The sequence below is a fragment of the Homo sapiens genome, chromosome 2 (genome assembly GCF_000001405.40).
Source record: "Homo sapiens chromosome 2, GRCh38.p14 Primary Assembly".
NCBI lineage: Eukaryota > Metazoa > Chordata > Mammalia > Primates > Hominidae > Homo > Homo sapiens.
In genome coordinates this window covers 154239880-154256480 of record NC_000002.12, presented here as the reverse complement: position 1 = coordinate 154256480, position 16601 = coordinate 154239880, and the positions used below count along the sequence as shown (strand labels likewise).

Here is a 16601-nt window from a genome sequence, read left to right as displayed (position 1 = left end):
TTAACCCCTCCTATTTTCATAAGAAGTCATTTTATCCTTTATTGGTGATTATGGTTCCTTAGTTAATCCATAGTCTCACATTAATAACAACTTTCAGGAATTTCTTCTTCCCTTCTTCCAATCCATTTCCAAGGCTCTGCCATGTCAGCAAAACACTAGCTTAGGAACTTTGGTTCTCTGTGCTTGCTTTTCTGCAATTTCCAATTATCTCTCTCGCTTTTTTTTTTAAATTTTGGTGCTTGGGTGAATCTACCTTTCACTTCATTTACTTCTGCTATTAAGACACTGGGAAAGTAATAAGATGTGGTTAACTGGTTATAGGACAAGTCCACATTATTGATTCTCTGCTTAATTCACAAACTGCTAACAATCCTGCTCTCTATTTGTTTACCTTATTTTTAACTGAGTTTTTTTTTTCTTTTTTTGAGACAGGGTCTCACTCTGACACCCAGGCTAGAGTGGTGTAGTGGTGCAATCAGATTTCCCTGCAGCCTCGACTTCCCAGGCTCAGATGATTCTCCCACCTCAGCCTCCAGAATAGCTGGGACTACGGGCATGCACCACCATACCGAGCTATCTTTTTGTATTTTTTGTAGAGACAGAGTTTTGCTATGTTGCTCAGGCTGATCTTGAACTCCTGGGCTCAAATGACCTGCCCACCTTGGCCTCTCAACGTGCTGGGATTACAGGTGTTAGTCACCACACCTGGCCTGAGTCTTTCCAAAAGTTTTGGACTCTTCTCAACCATCTGGGGATCAAGGAAATGCATGAAATCTAAATTATCTCAATCATGAAATCTAAACTCCTTCAATCTCTAGCTCAACATGTTTAAAAATGTGTCTTCCTCATGGCCTCCTCTCTCCTCTTGTCTCATAAAAAAGAATAGCTCCTTTCCTCTCATTGTGGTCTAGCATTCATGCTTGTGGCCTCAACAGACTCCTAACTACTCTTTCAGGCCCTTGCTCATCGACTATTAACATTTATGTTTTATGCCTTGGATTTCTAGATTGTTCCCTTGAGCTTACAAGCCTGCTGAATTAAGTTCTATCCTAAACCAAAAAACATTTTCATTCCACCTTACTACTCTGTTAAACCAGACACATATATTTTCTATTCCCTTCCCTGGTAACCTTCTTGAAAGGATGCTTTCTACATACCCCCTTAGCAACTTTTAACCTTCAACTAGAAGCTAGATCCTGCTCCCGCCTCTACAATAACTTCTTTCTGAAAGGTCCCCATTGATTTTGAACTCCAATAACCTGTCCTTAACTTTTTCCTCTGAAAGTATATAGCACAATACATCAGGCTTCCTGCTTGAAATCATTTTTGTTTCTAGCTCCTATTGCATTGTTCTGTAGAGGTTTCCCTTCTACTAATCTGATTGTTAATTTTATGATTCTTATTGACATCCCCTTCCCCTCCTTTTTCCTTGCTGTCAGACTTTGGACAAGCTCTTAGTTTCATATCTATCACGTGGGTGCAATATACCATTATAATATTATTTTGTGGATATATGCATTTAATAATTTCTTCTCTCATCTGAAATTAGTCCTCCCAAGGGTCTCTCAGGGGCACTTTTCTCTTTCTATGCTCTTTGTGTGGGTAAGATCAGATCATTCATCACATACCTTTCACTGTCACCTTTATGGTTCACTCCTAATCTGTGTTTCCATACTTGTTTCCTCTGCATAAGTTGTGCTTTTGCAGTTACTCACTAGATGATTCCTCCAAAAAACTCCTTTGACTCTGTTCAGTGTGTACATCATAGACCTGAAAATTTGCTACTTATCTGTCTCTCTTTTAATGTCTTATATTTCTTTCCAGTCTCTTAATATAAAATGAAAAACCACATTTTTTATGCCTAATTCAATTATTTCCAAAATACTTCTTTTTTTTTCTGAAGTATTTTTGACTCATCTCTGTTATCATAGTGATACTTTTAGTCTTCTATGTTTGCTAATAATGGGGTCCTCTTAGATGCTAAGATGCCTAGATGCTGAGAGGATCTGGATGCCTCTAGATTCTTCTGCTTCTGAAATTTATCCTAAAAACCATAGCCAGATTAATTTCTCTAAATTGATGATCCTCTAAAAATGTTAATAGATGTTCAAAAATCTATGTTAAGGAAATAAATCTAGCTTCTTATCCTGGCATCAGTAATCTAGCCATTTGATTACGAGGGATCAAAATAAACAATGGGGCTACCCAACGAGCTCCTCTCAACCCCCTTTAACTATTTCCCTGCATGTAAAGTGTTTAGCTGTTACTGGTAAATGCTTTACATTTTTGTGCCTTGGTATATTTGTTCACATCCATTGGTCACCTGGATTTTTCTTTGAAAACTCCCCTTATATGTTCAAATTTGATTATTCTTAGTCTAATACAAATGTTATACACTCTAGGCAGCCTGCCTTCAACACCACTGCCCCGTCCCCCTGCTCCCTCAATCAAGACATACTCTTCCCCTTCCACCTTCTTCTATAAGCCCTTATCACTGTGTATCTCAAGGAACTGGCCAATTCTTATTGTATATAGTATTATATTTATTTGTGTACTTTTCACCACTTCTATAAGCATACCCAATACATTGGTTTAATAGTATTAGACTATTAATGGATATTTACTGAATAACAAACAAATGAGTAATGTATCTCTATAGCCACAGAACAATCTATTTGAAAGTTAAAATTATCTGCAATTTTATTTCTGAAATTCCAAAAATGTTCTTTGCTCGCACCTGCTAAATTGATGAGTAACAAAGATGATTTCACTAATTGCAAGATTTTCAAAGGCTCTATCATCTAATAGGAGTTTTAGGGGTTGAGTTTGATAGTATTTTATTTATTTATTTGGTTAGTTATACTTTGAGACTGGGTCTCACTATACTGCCCAGGATAATCTCGAACTCTTGGCCTCCAGCTATCTTCCTGTCTCAGGATGACAGGTGCATGCTACAGTGCCTAGTTTGTGATAGTATTTTAGAATTTAAGATATGAAGCTTTGTAACTATGTAAAATAGTAAAAGTCTCAAAAAAGTATGCATTTGACATGGAAAAATGCTGGAGTTTTTCACCAGAAGTTGGTAAATCAACAGAAATTGTGACAGAATACATTTAATTATTCAGTAATGCTAAAATGTAATGTCTGTATTTTCACCAAGAAGACAATATATCCTGTATTTCACGCTGTGATAATCACCCTGTATAGAGGTAATGAGACCCCAAGAGGCAGCCAAATTTAGTTGTTAGAAGTCTGGACTTCATAGCTAGATTGGATTCAAACCCCAGCCCCACAGTGTTTGACTGTCATTGAGTCACTTAAACTCTGTGCCTCAGTTTCATCACCTATAAAATGTGGATCATGTGAGTTAATACATGTAACAGTCTTGAAACAATACCAGCACAAAGCTTATAGTATACATTTTAGATATTATCTATCAAAAAAGGAGAAACATCTCTGTTTACCAAGATTATAAGTTGCTTCATTTTTATTGTTTTCTGGGTCCAATTAATTTTCAGATATGTAATATTTCAGAGCTCTAAAATCCCTACAGTTTTGGTCAAAAAATTTAGTTGCAATGTGTTTAAGTCCCTTGTTCAAGGACCCCTAACTAGTTGGTAGCATGGATAAAAAAGTCATCTTTCTTTCTTTCTTCCTTTCCTCTCCTCTCCTCTTCTCTCCTCTCCTTTCCTTATCTATTATCTATCTATCTATCTATCTATCTATCTATCTATCTATCTATCTATCTATCTATCTTTTTCCATTCGTCCATATACCTTATACAGCAAAAGATTTGGGGTAGTTAATTAGAAATACATTTTTCCTAGCGGGGAGTGGTGGCTCACGCCTGTAATCCCAGCACTTTGGGAGGCTGAGGCAGGCGGATCACGAGGTCAGGAGAACGAGACCATCCTGGCTAACACGGTGAAACCCAGTCTCTATTAAAAATACAAAAAATTAGCCGGGCATGGTGGCGGGCACCTGTAGTCCCAGCTACTTGGGAGGCTGAGGCAGGGGAATGGCGTGAATCCGGGAGGCGGAGCTTGCGGTAGGCCAAGATGGCGCCACTGTAACTCCAGCCTGGGTGACAGAGCGAGACTCCATCTCAAAAAAAAAAAAATAATAATAATAAAATAAAATAAATTAAAATAGTACATGTTTCCTGATTTCAAGCTCCATGTTTATGTACCATGTTTTCCTGTGAATTTTTGGACTGCCCTTCATAAACAATTTCTCTCAAAGTTCTGGAAACATCATTCCTTCTATTTTTTTCTTTGGATACATCAGGATTCTATTTAATCTTACTTGGCAAATAATCAAGGGCCTTGGAGGAAAAACTCCTAAGAATGTTTCAGAGACCACAGCTTAGTTCTAAGCTATTATTTATAATGTTCAAATAACACAATATCTACACTGTTAGTATTTAGATCTGTGTTAATTACATTTTCCATAGATTATAAAATTAATAAAGATAAGTAATAAAAATAAGGTTTTTTTTACATTTACAAATATGAGCATGAATAGCTGAAATCTTCACGTCTGATTTTTTTAAATTATAAAATCTAATGGCTTTATTAGGTTAATCATTTTGTAGGTTTAGGAACCCAAAGGAAATGAAATGCTATGAGTTTCTCTCCTTTCTTCCTTATTCTATGCACTATAACCAAAATAGAAAGCAGAGGAAAGAGAAAGGAAGCAGAGGCACAAATGCTTTTCTATCAGAGTGATGAATAATTAAATGCTGAATGTAATTAAAGTTTTTACTGATAAAAATGGGAAGTTTGGTGGATACCGCACACTATTACAATCATCTGAACCTGTGTTTGGGTATGAAGATGTGGCTTTCTGTAGAGAAGAAATTGTTACTTTAAGACTTTATGCTGGCTTAGGCTCTAGACATGGAAGCTTACTAAAATCCTGCAGAGTCGATGAAACACAAACAATTTGTGTCATTTTTAAGGAATAAGAAAAATATAATGTTCTGCTTAGTATGGGCAAATGATTTGTTTTGCTGCCAAAGAACCCACTTACCAATAAGCATGAGAATCAAATACTTAAACTTGTGCTTAAACATCTATATTTCCAATAAAGGAGTAGTTATTTTTTTCCCTAAATCCTTTTTAATAATTCCTAGGACCTGATAAAACCCTAAGCTTCCACAAGGATGTAGAGTAATTGGTGCAAATTTTAATCTTTCATTGTACTTTCATTTCATGCTTACGAGGGATCAAAATAAACAATGGGGCCAGCTGGGATCAGATGTCATAAAATATTTTGGTTCATGTGACAAAATTATTCAGTATATAAATGTAATATTTAACTTAGCACTCTATTACCCTAGTTTTCTTCTCATCCCAACAGGCTGCTAAGAAAGTCTCCCAAATTATCCCCTAAACTATTAGAAAGTAATATAATATAAAAGTACTCTTTCTTTCATAGAATATAGATTCAAATATTTTTATCTGAGGAGATAATTTTTTACTTCTCTCAATCAACATACATTAGATTTTAACAGGAGTAAGCAAGAGCATTGACTAGTTGAGCATTCCAAAGTTAGTTATTTCTTTCAGTCTTTGTTCTGCTCACAACGTTGACCTTTCCCTGTGCTGTTGTTTTCATATCTTTTATTTTATAGAAGTGTTTTAAAGGCTTTGGTGATATCTATTTCTGTTTCTTTCCTGCAATCCAAACGTATATTATGGTTGGATTGAGAAAAGTCTAATACAATCTGATAAAAATTAAGAAGTAAATTATTTGTTACTACTAAATATAAGAAACTTTGTCTTATATTTGTATAAGATGTTAAAGAGTAACATTTGTGTTTTTAATTTATTATACTTAGTGAAATTATAAATTGATTCAGTGATAATATTTTTGGGGAGGAATTAAATTGGCAGAAGGTGTCAGGAATATTAAAACAAATTTCATATTCAAATGCATAATTCTAAAGCAATCACTTTGTATGCAAACACTAGGTGAAGAAATAATTGATAAAAAAATTGAAGTGCAAACAAACTCTTGATGAACTTTAGTCAACAAAAAAAATAGAGAAACATCGTAAGTAATTGAGACATTAGCAGCCATTAAAACCTATGTGGGGAAAAATAATGGCATAGAAAAATATTGATGATATATCAAATTTACATTGTAGAGAAATTGAATAGAAAAGCCTTAGAAGAAAATACAACCAAATTCTAAAAGAGATGGCTCATTGGTGTTCTGCTTCTTCATCCTTTTGGGTACTTGTCACATTTATTTTGCAATATTTATATGTTACATTATCAGATATAAATTTAAAACCTAATTCATATCAAAGACATTGCTCATTTCAATATTTTATAGCACTTCATGAGTTAAGCAAAGCAGGGAGAATAATTTTCCATTTTATAGTTGAGAAGACTAGGTAATTTCTCAATTGGAGGAGCTTGAAATAAAACTAGATCCTCCAAGGCTAGTTTCAATGCTTCTTCTATGATCACACTAGAATGATAGAGGAGATAATATATGTGAACATTCTATGAGTTTTTCACAATAAAATACAATTATAATCAGAGATACTAATGATGTTATTTGATTTATTTGATCTTCATAAACTCCTAATTCTAATTGAGTGAAAAATAAATGCATGAAATCAACTGAATGTCAATAAAAAGGAATATAAAATTAGGTAAAATAGGTCTGAAATAAAAACCAATAACATTTATGTTTGATTTATTACTATATCAGAATTAAAAGAACATCTAAAACTCTTTTGTTTTACTTTAGAAATATACTCAACATGGCACTTGAAGTAAAAATGAAGGCAGTCATATTAAAAATATTAATGATGATTAAAGGTAAAAGAGTCCATAAGGTAAGATGTGAAGGGTGAAAAAAGTTAAATTCACTTGGAAATTACCAGTAGGTTTTTCATTTAAAAAATCTATTTTAATCAGTGTGAAATTAAAGTGGAAATGAATATCTTCATAATTATTTATTGAGGTTCACTTACAGGGCATAATTAAGAGACTAAAGCAATCAATAAGACTTAAGCCAGGCTCCTTTCTAGAGGTCCACACCACTTTAGTAGTAGACATAATTATTCCTGTACATCCACACTTGGACCATTTACACTAGACTCTTTCCCTCATCGAGCATACCTGTGGCCAGTGCCAGACAGTGAGCAACTTTACAGCATAGGTAGCCTTATCCATGCTTGTATGTGCAGAACTTAGCACAGCGCCCAATAGTTTGTATGCATGGAATACAAATAGAACAGTTTGTATGTTTGTTTTTGTATGGAATCAAACTTATTTCAATAGCCTAAACCAAATCACCTCCCATTTGTATGTGTTAGGAAAAAATGCATAACTCATCCCCAAATTAATTAAATGATCTAGAGTATTATTTGCATTATCAGGTAACTTTGCTACTAGTTGCCTACTCTATTAGGTAATGTATATGCATAGTTATACAGGGGTGATATGCTTGATGAGTTTCAAACTCAGCCATTTCCCAGGCAGTAGCCTCTAAGACCAGGGTCAAAACTTTAAAAGATTATAGCCAGATAAAGATAATTATATAAAGTGGATTTGTTACAATAAATATATTTTCCCCCTTTCCTCAAGACACAGGTGCAGAGAAATATTTCTTCAATTTCAAGAATATTGACAAATGTCAAATGACCCTCAGCCTCAGTGTCAGGAACATAATTTAGAAGGAGTTGTGGAGATTGGGAAAAGTTTTCATGCCATTTCTACATGGGCAGTTTCTATTAAATTCCACCTGATGGTGCCAGGTAAGAATCCTGGTCCATTGTAGCAAGATCTTCTGACTTATTAGTAGATGGAAATCCAGATTTTTATTTAAAATATCTCATTTTTAAAGTGTTGGTAATTTTTGAAAATGTAAAACACTATGTATGCCAAATAAAACACTTCTACAGAGAATATTTGGCACAAAACCTCCTAGTTTATGACCTCCAGTTTAAAAAGTACTATTTGTTGCACATATAATTGAAATATTCTTGAAAAGTCATATAATTTGATTATTAAATGTCAAGGAAAGTTTACTGATTAAAGGAAACTATATATTACTGATTAAAGGAAAATATATATTCGTAATTATGTATATTATTCCATAGTTATAATATGAAAATTAACAAGTATTTCACAAACTCCATTTATTATGAAAATGAAAATACCAAAGCCCAGAAAAATAAGAATGACCATGTTAAGCTTTACTTTAGATGTAGTATAACTGATTTAGGTCACAAGTTCAACTTGGCTTTCAATGTAAGCAGATGCATGATTGTATTTCTAAATGATGACTAGCCAATTATGGTGACTACAAAGTTCTATCATAACTGACATTTTAAATGAAGCATTCCACTAAGAAAACTAAAATTTCAGCTTCATTTTCATCACTTTAGCTATTCAGAATTCTGTTAATCAAGTAGGAAAAAAATTGTCTTCAACATCTAGAATGATTTATCTATTTGTATGAATGTGAGAAAAATGATCACATCTTCAAGCAATAGATTACAAGTAGAAGGAACGTTCACATTACAGCTATGCTGATGAAAATTACCTGCAGGCTGTTACAACCGAACCCATGAATTAATTAACCTTTTGCCACAAAAATCTAGAAACTTCAGCAAAGACTGAGGTTTCTCTGTTTCTCTCACTTCAGCTTCCTCAGCATGTTAGAAAATAAAATGATGTGCCGTTACTGCAGGAAACAAAATATACTGAGATTTTATCAGATCTCATATTACTGCAATACAACCACATAAATTATGGTTAAAATATAGGAAGTTAGATGATTCATCTTTTGGTTTAGTTAATGAAAGATGAGTAATAATGATTGATTTCTACATAGATCTTTATTTTATGAATGAGATCAGTAATTTCTTACTGTGAATGCTGGCTACCTCTTAGTTATCTTCCGTTTGACTCTGTGAGAACATAAATAAAGCATGTTTTTTGCCAATGTGTTTTTTTAAATGAGTATAAACATGCCTTCTTATAAACAGCATTTTCAAATGAATAAAAACATTATCTATATGTAAGTGTATTGGTCAAGCATTCTGATAGTTTTCACTCGGAATCTAAAGTTTAAAAATCAGCTAACACTAAATGAAAACAATTTGGGAAAATAGAATATCTAATAAATGATGGTAACATGAGCCACTATATTTTCCCAGTTTGTTAAAGGTAAGTATCAATAAGACTTGGTGAATTTGAAGATTATACAAGACTTAAGACTACTAAGTTACATTTTAAATACTGACAGGATAACTTACATGACTTTATACAAATGTTAGAAGTCACATTTTATTTTTCTCTTTGATGTAACAGATCTTCTTTAGAAGTTAACATCCCTAATATTTAATTGTTCAGTAACAAATACCTTTAGCCATTCTCTTCCATTAGCCTATTTTTAGAGTTTAATTTTAATTAATTCTTTATATAATTAAGTAGGTGACAATAGATAAGTCATCCCTTCAGTAGGTTACCAGACATTCTTGTTCAGATCATGGATTTTACATACAGTAAGTCTTCACTTAATGTTGTTGCAACTTTAAGTGAAATGACAAACAAAAGGTCCTCGAGTAACATCCTTTAGTTCAATGTCCTTCCATTATAAGATTGATGACAGTGTTTTTGTTATTTTGTTTAAAGTTGCAGTTTCCAAGAACCTGTTGACAATGCTAAGTGAGGACTTAAAGTGTATGTTTCTAGAATGTTAGGGTATTTCTCTCATGTTCCAAAGGAAGGATGATTTGCCAAATTCATCTTTAAAGAACTAAACTAGTGAATACTTCCGAAAGTATTTTTCAGGAAATCGATTTTTAGTTTCAGGTAAGAGGTCCACAATGTGTTTAAGTAGGAAGATGATACTTTTGTGTTAATAAAGTGGGTAATGCTTATACAGACAATTCGAGATGTATATGATATTTTTTATTACAAGTAAGTGCATATTTTACTAATCAGGATTTCAACTTAAGTAGTATTTGAAGTAATTTGGGATAATAAGCCCTTCATAATTTTGAATACATTAATATTTTCCAAATGGACCTATAGAATCTATAAGGAAGATAACCTTTTAAAGGTGGTATATTTAGAATACTTACCAAAACATTTTTGGCTATTTCAGTTTTGAGAACATTTCTATTATAAATCTATACTTTAAGGTAAGACACACATTTACTTGAAGTGTCAAGGCTAGCACATTTCTGTCACATAGAAAATTCACAGTAAATATATTTTGAATACAAGAATACATAAACTTTCAAAAGATATTTAGCATTTTTGCCAATACTTAAGTTTGCCTATACTAATTTAAATTAGATTTAATATTGTCATTGATCCTTATATGATTATGTAAAGGTCATAATGTATATGTATATTGAATAATAAGGATACAATTAAATAATTAAACATTAGAACAGAAATCTATAATATTCCTTAATTTTTAGGGGGATATACATAATCTTCAAGAGATATGATCTACATACCTGACAGGTAATGTTCTGTCTCCTTTCCTCCTGTCCATTTCTCTTTGGGGAACAGGATACCAGCGGAAATTCAGTTTCCAGTTAAAACCCCCATAAGTCATGTCTGACCCAGCCATATATTCAAAAGTATCATCACTAATCACATCAATGATAGGGCAGACAACCGTTTTCCTGCAGAGAAATTAAAACCAATTTATAGACACATGATAATTAAAATGTTACATTATCTTCTTCAAACTGATTATAGCTGATATGAGGAAATTTAATTATTTTGTTACTTTAATATGCCTTTAGCTTCATTTTATCCTATTAGTCCATGGAATTATTTCCTTTGACTACATATTCCTTACAGTTTACTTTATGCTATCTTTTGAAATCTAAACAAGTTTATTTCCAAATGCATTCTAAGTACTAACTTAGCAAGATGAGCAGGGTCTATTTTTTATAAAACCTCCACCCACAGCATGATTAGTAGAGCTGCTTTGAGATTATGCATCATTTTAGCTATAATCCATTGAAAAGAAATAGCATTCAGGGAGGTAAGAAGGGATGATGGCAAATTAGATCTGGTAGTTTGCATTTCAAGTAGGGTACGTTAGTTTAGAGAGTTCTGAGAACATCTTCATGGAGAAAACACCTACTAGGAAAAACAAACAGAAATCAACAAACAGCAACAACAAAAATCATAATCCGTCAGTATAAGTAAATGTTTCCGATGAAAGATGATAGGGTCATGACCATTTCTGAGTAAAATGTCCTCAAATTAAGAGTTTACATGTATAATCTAGATGATAGCTTAAGATAGGGAAAGATAAGCAACTTTAATCTCTGGTGTTTTATTTATTTATTTATTTATTTATTTATTTATTTATTTATTTTGACAGAGCCTTGCCCTGTCACCCAGGCTGGAGTGCAGTGGGGAGATCTCAGATCAGTGCAAACTCTGCCTCCCAGGTTCAAGCAATTCTCCTGCCTCAGCCTCCCAACGTGCCTGCCATCATACCTGGCTAATTTTTGTATTTTTAGCAGAGACAGAGTTTCACCATGTTGGCTAGGTTGGTCTCGAACTCCTGACCTCAGGTGATCCACCTGCCTTGGCCTCCCAAATGCTGGGATTATAGGTGTGAGCCACCGCACCTGGCCTATCCCATTTTTCTTAAAGTAAGAGAAAGGTTGGTGTTCTTAATGGTAGCTTTCTATGGTAGAAAATTTCATTTGGGAAAATCATTAGGTACACTTTTAATCCATGTTGTGCCTTCTCTAATTCTTGATCTAATGCCTGTTCATTTATTTTATTATGGGACCAACCTTCTGTGATTTCCACAAGTAAATGTTCAGGCCTACTCAAATTGTATTGGTTGTAGCTAATTCTGAAGACCAGAGTTGGTTTTTCATATTTGGTAGAAGGTAAATACACAAATAAGCTTCTGAATCATCCCTAGATATGAAAAGCACATAAATGTCCATTATTCATACTTGTTTTGTAACACCAGTTTCACCAATACTCATTTTCAATTGAAGTCTTATATTCCACACAACTGACCAGAGCCTCAACTTATCTGCGATCAACAAGACTCCTCTAGCCTTGGAAAACCTTCTTGGTGACTCTGGACCCCAGAAAAATCAACATTTTTCTCACTTCCTTTATTAGATTTAATGATTTAACTTGTGAGGAGAAGAAATTAGGTCTAAAAATCTTGAACAGACTGTCTATTTAGGGTAGTTTTAAACTTTATAATCAGGTCAAGACAATAGGGTTCATCATATGCAAATACAGTGCAATTATGTTGTTAGATCAAAAAAATAAATAGCCTATGTATGACCGTATTGAAACATTAAAAGCTCATTCAGTTGAATATGAAACACATGTGGAAAAAAAAAACAACATAATGTACCAAAATTTGCCAGGAAATTCATTTTTAAGTTCATTTTACTTTGCCAGTCTGATTGTCCTGTGGGTACTGTACAATACACAGAGTGGAAAAATGTTATTAGCCATGTACAACACTCTATGGACTAAAAGGTTCCTACTGCTTTCTTCAACTGCTGTGCTTCATTTTACTGACAGCTTCCATCCATCTTCCTGGCAAGTACCAAATCCTGCTGTTTAAGTGATGTGGCTGGACTAGCTCAGACTAAGTAGCTCCTATCTTGAGTGTCTAATTAAAAATGTCAATTCTAGAAGGAATTTTCTACTATAGACGAAATGACTATGCAAGTATGGTGTTATGTAATGTTTTGTTATTGTATCAGTTGGCATTCAATGTTAGTTATCTAGGTATTTAGAAATTATACTCTCTTATCACCAGTGTTTATAAATATTTGCTAAAAAATGCTTGTACTTCATCAACAACAGAAGGAATTGCAGGTATGTATAAGGATTCTTAATTTCTATAAGTGTTATTTATTCAATTTTCCAGATTTCAAAATGTGTATGTATAAGGTGACATTGTTGAAATAATTAAACATATTCTTATAGCTGTGCTCTTATGTTTCTTTTTTTAATTATAATTTTTTCAGTGCTGTGTGTGTGCATGTGTGTGTGTGCATTTTTAAGACATTCCAGGTGGATTTGAACTAGACTGACTAAGGGTGCTCGTGTAGTTTACAGAACACTGGCAGAGAACTGGAAAGAGCTGAATTGTTGTTCCCAGCACTTCCAATGACAGGAGCAAGTTAGATGTGGCTTCTTTGTTCCTCCTCATTATAAGTTATAGATAAGAATATCTACAGTACCTACCTCACAGGGTGGTTGTCAGAACACAAAAAGGTGCTTTGAAAATGTGCTTTATAACACAATTATACTATTTTAGATTATATTTATTTCCTTCACCTAAAAAGTAATTTAACACGTTTTTATTATTTGAATTATTTCACTATTTCTTAATCAACTATCTATGTCCAGCATGAATACAGCAGTCTTATTTATCAAGCAAGTGGGAAAACGTGCTTTTAAGAAAAGCTATAAAATAAACCTTCTAAAAATAGCAACTTGGAAGAGAAATTCTGATGGACATCTGGAACTGTCCTAAGAGGTTCAGTCATAACCCAGGCAGACAGAACACATAAATTCTTACCTGTCTTCCTTTATTCTTGCCAGCAAAGGCTCCAGCCATCCTAACGTGCATTCACAGTGTGCATCAAGAAAAGTTATGACCTGCCCTTTTGAAGCAGCTGCTCCTCGAAGACGGGCACGTATTAACCCAGAGCGTTCTTCCATCCTAATAATTTTTACTGGCACTTCTAAATTTTTCACGTAATTCTCTAATGTCAACTTGAGAAAATCTGTAACATGTATAAGAATTTATAAGAAAAATTTTTGAAACTGTTTTAAGAAATAGCAGAGATACTACCAAGATGGAAATTCAACACACAGAAATGGTGGCCAATTCCTATCAGTATTTACTGCCTTAGATATAAAATAATAGAGATTTCATTAGTTAATTAATGTCAAGTATCCATAAAATCATATGAGAATGCTCAATAATATAATCAATTGAGTTGGAAAAAAGATATATTTTTGAAAGTCATTTTGGCTGAAATTTTAGGTAAGAACCATATAGAATCATGAGAGAAAGTGAAAGAATTAGTTATTTGCTTCTAGAGTTGGCATTAATGAGGTTCTTGATGAGAATCTGATAGGCTGTGGCAGGGCTAGTAAAATTATAATGCAAATATAGATCATTGCCTAGTTATCTTTTTGGCCATAATAAAGCTTTCTAATACAAAAAAACAAAACAAAACAAAACAAAAAAACAAAAACAAAAACAAAAAACCAGTTTGTACCTCTTTCACTGGCATCATCTACCAAGATGACCTCTGAGAGTAGATAGTGTGGGGAACGATTTATCACACTGTAAACAGTTCTAAGGAGAGTGCTCCAAGCTTCATTATGAAACACAATGACTACACTTGTGTTTGGAAGTTCATCAGGGTAGACTTTTGTCTTACATCTGAAAAAGAGAAAAGAAGAGGGATCTTAATAAATGCATTTTTTATCCTGATTATTTTAAAAAGAAATATCCATAATAACACAACTTCAGACTTGAAAGCCCCTTACTAAGGAAATGTTTTATGAATATCTAAAATCATTTCCCTTTTATAACTGCTGTGAGTAATCAGTTGGCATTCTGAAAATTAAATATGCATAATTACTAATATTTTTATTTTAACTCCTGCAGGGAACAAAGCAGCATGATTTCTACAAGTCTAAGAAAAACCTAAGAAATATAAAATAACATTCTGAAACTGGTAAAACAGGTACAAATGAGTTCATTTAGTGAATATAATTTTATCATTTGTTAATAAAAATGTATAACTCAAGAAGTCATAGGAACATAAACAGACAAGGGTCCAAAGGGTTTTGAAATATGTAAAACAGATTTTTCTGTTCTAAATCTAGTCATATATGCTTTTAATTCCATTTGAGGATGCTATAAACAATGTCTACTTCCAAGGAATGATTTAGGTTTCCTTTAGATTCAGAATCTACTAAATGCATCCTGGCCTCTAAAATTTCCCTATGTTTTGGAGATCAGGAAAGGGAATGGACTACCAGCATTTCTCAAACTGTAATGTGCACAGTCACTGATATGGAAGTGCTGGGAAGGTAAGAGCGTGGTCCCTTTAAATGACAGGGAAGAAGGGAAGGGAAGTGCTGGGTAGAAGAGGGCGTGGTCCCTGGCTAGGGCTCCACCCCTACAGACCCTGGGTGAGGACAGGCATTTCCTGCCCAAATGTTGGATTTCCCAAGACCGCCCTGGCCTGCCATCCTGTGCCTATAACCACCCCCGCTCCACCACCCCCAGACTCTAGAAGGCAGACACACAAGCTGCTGGACGTCCAGAAGAGCAGATCTGCCCGAGAAGACACAGACAGCTGGATGAAACAGACAGCTGGGTGTGGAGAGGAGCAAGTCAGCGGAGGAAGGCACGGACGGCTAGACATGGAGAGGGATGCACCAGCAGGCACCGGCAAGCCAGCAAGCCATTGACCAGTGGGAGGAGGCGGAATTTGGCTGGGGCAGTCAGAGGAGACAGCCCAGGCCGCTGAGGTGCTGGACTCCAGGGGAAAACCTTCCCACTCCATCTCCTTTCTGGCTTCCCCCATCTGCTGAGAGCTACCTCCACTCAATAAAACCTTGCACTCATTCTCCAAGCCCAAGTGTGATGTGACTCTTCCGGTACACCAAGCCAAGAACCCCGGATACAGAAAGTCCTCTGTCCTTGTGACAAGGTAGTGACAAGGTAGAGGGTCTAATTGAGCTGGTTAACACAAGCTGCCTATAGATGGCAAAATTAAAAGAGCACACGGTAGCACGCTCCCACTAGGGCCCTAAACACTGCTGTGGGGTCGGAGCCCCACAACCTGCCCGTCCGTCCATATACTGCCCTAGAGATTTGAGCAGAGGGGCACTGAAGAAGCAAGCCACAGCCCCATCACACGCCGTGTGAGAGGGAGAAGGCAACTTTTCCCATTTCAGCATCACCTGGAGATTTATTCAAATGCAGATTCTAATTCACTAGGTCTAGGGTGAAGTTTCTGCATTTCCGAAAAGCTCCCAGATGATTTAGAGGCTGCTGGTCCCCAGAGCACACTGATTAGTAAGGGGCTACACCATCATTATTACTACTTTTAGAACTTAACATTTTGAAAAATGTTTTTGACTTTGCTTATAAATCCAAATAAGTCCAGATTTTTCTTTTCAAGCAATCAATCAAGGTACACTTGGATCAATGATATGTGTAGTGCTGTAGGTGGTGATCCCAAATTTAACAGGCAGATGTTTGTTGCTCCCATCAACTCGTCAACATTCAGGCATTTCTGTCATGTCATTTTAAGTCAACGTGATTACAGATTATTAAAAAATGTCAAAAGGTTTCTGGAGCAGAAACAGAAGTTTATTCACCTGAGGTTATTTTTTTATGTAAAATATTCTGAAGAGCTAGATAATTAGTACCATAATATAAACTGAATCAGATACCTCTTGCTAATTATGAATGGGTTAATGCATGACACATACAGCATTGTTGAAATTAGTTTCCTTCACAAGGGAGTGAAAAAAATACAATAAAATGTGGAAGATGAAGGCATATAACAGATA

At 34.6% G+C, this 16601-nt stretch overlaps 1 protein-coding gene across 20 annotated transcripts in view, besides 1 other annotated feature; it reads right to left on the bottom strand.

The window, feature by feature from the left end:
• GALNT13 (polypeptide N-acetylgalactosaminyltransferase 13) overlaps nucleotides 1-16601 on the bottom strand; it is a 1388282-nt gene that overhangs the window by 200094 nt on the left and 1171587 nt on the right. For all 20 annotated transcript variants that reach the window (XR_007069045.1, NM_001422882.1, NM_001422883.1 and 17 more), the window contains 3 exons: nucleotides 14285-14451; nucleotides 13576-13783; nucleotides 10499-10669 (listed from right to left, as the gene is read on the bottom strand). Coding sequence is in view for 19 of the 20 variants with exons in the window: in NM_001422882.1 (NP_001409811.1) it covers nucleotides 10499-10669; nucleotides 13576-13783; nucleotides 14285-14451 (546 nt within the window). In the remaining variant the exon portion in view is untranslated. The remainder of the gene's footprint in view (nucleotides 1-10498; nucleotides 10670-13575; nucleotides 13784-14284; nucleotides 14452-16601) is intronic.
• Nucleotides 14177-15376: an enhancer, noted in NCBI's record as "BRD4-independent group 4 enhancer chr2:155097618-155098817 (GRCh37/hg19 assembly coordinates)". NCBI's record gives its function as "activates an origin of replication core promoter dependent on BRD2, P300/CBP, MED14 and CDK7 cofactors, and independent of BRD4, by STARR-seq in HCT116 cells {active_cell/tissue: HCT116}" and the evidence as "EXISTENCE:reporter gene assay evidence [ECO:0000049][PMID:35650434]".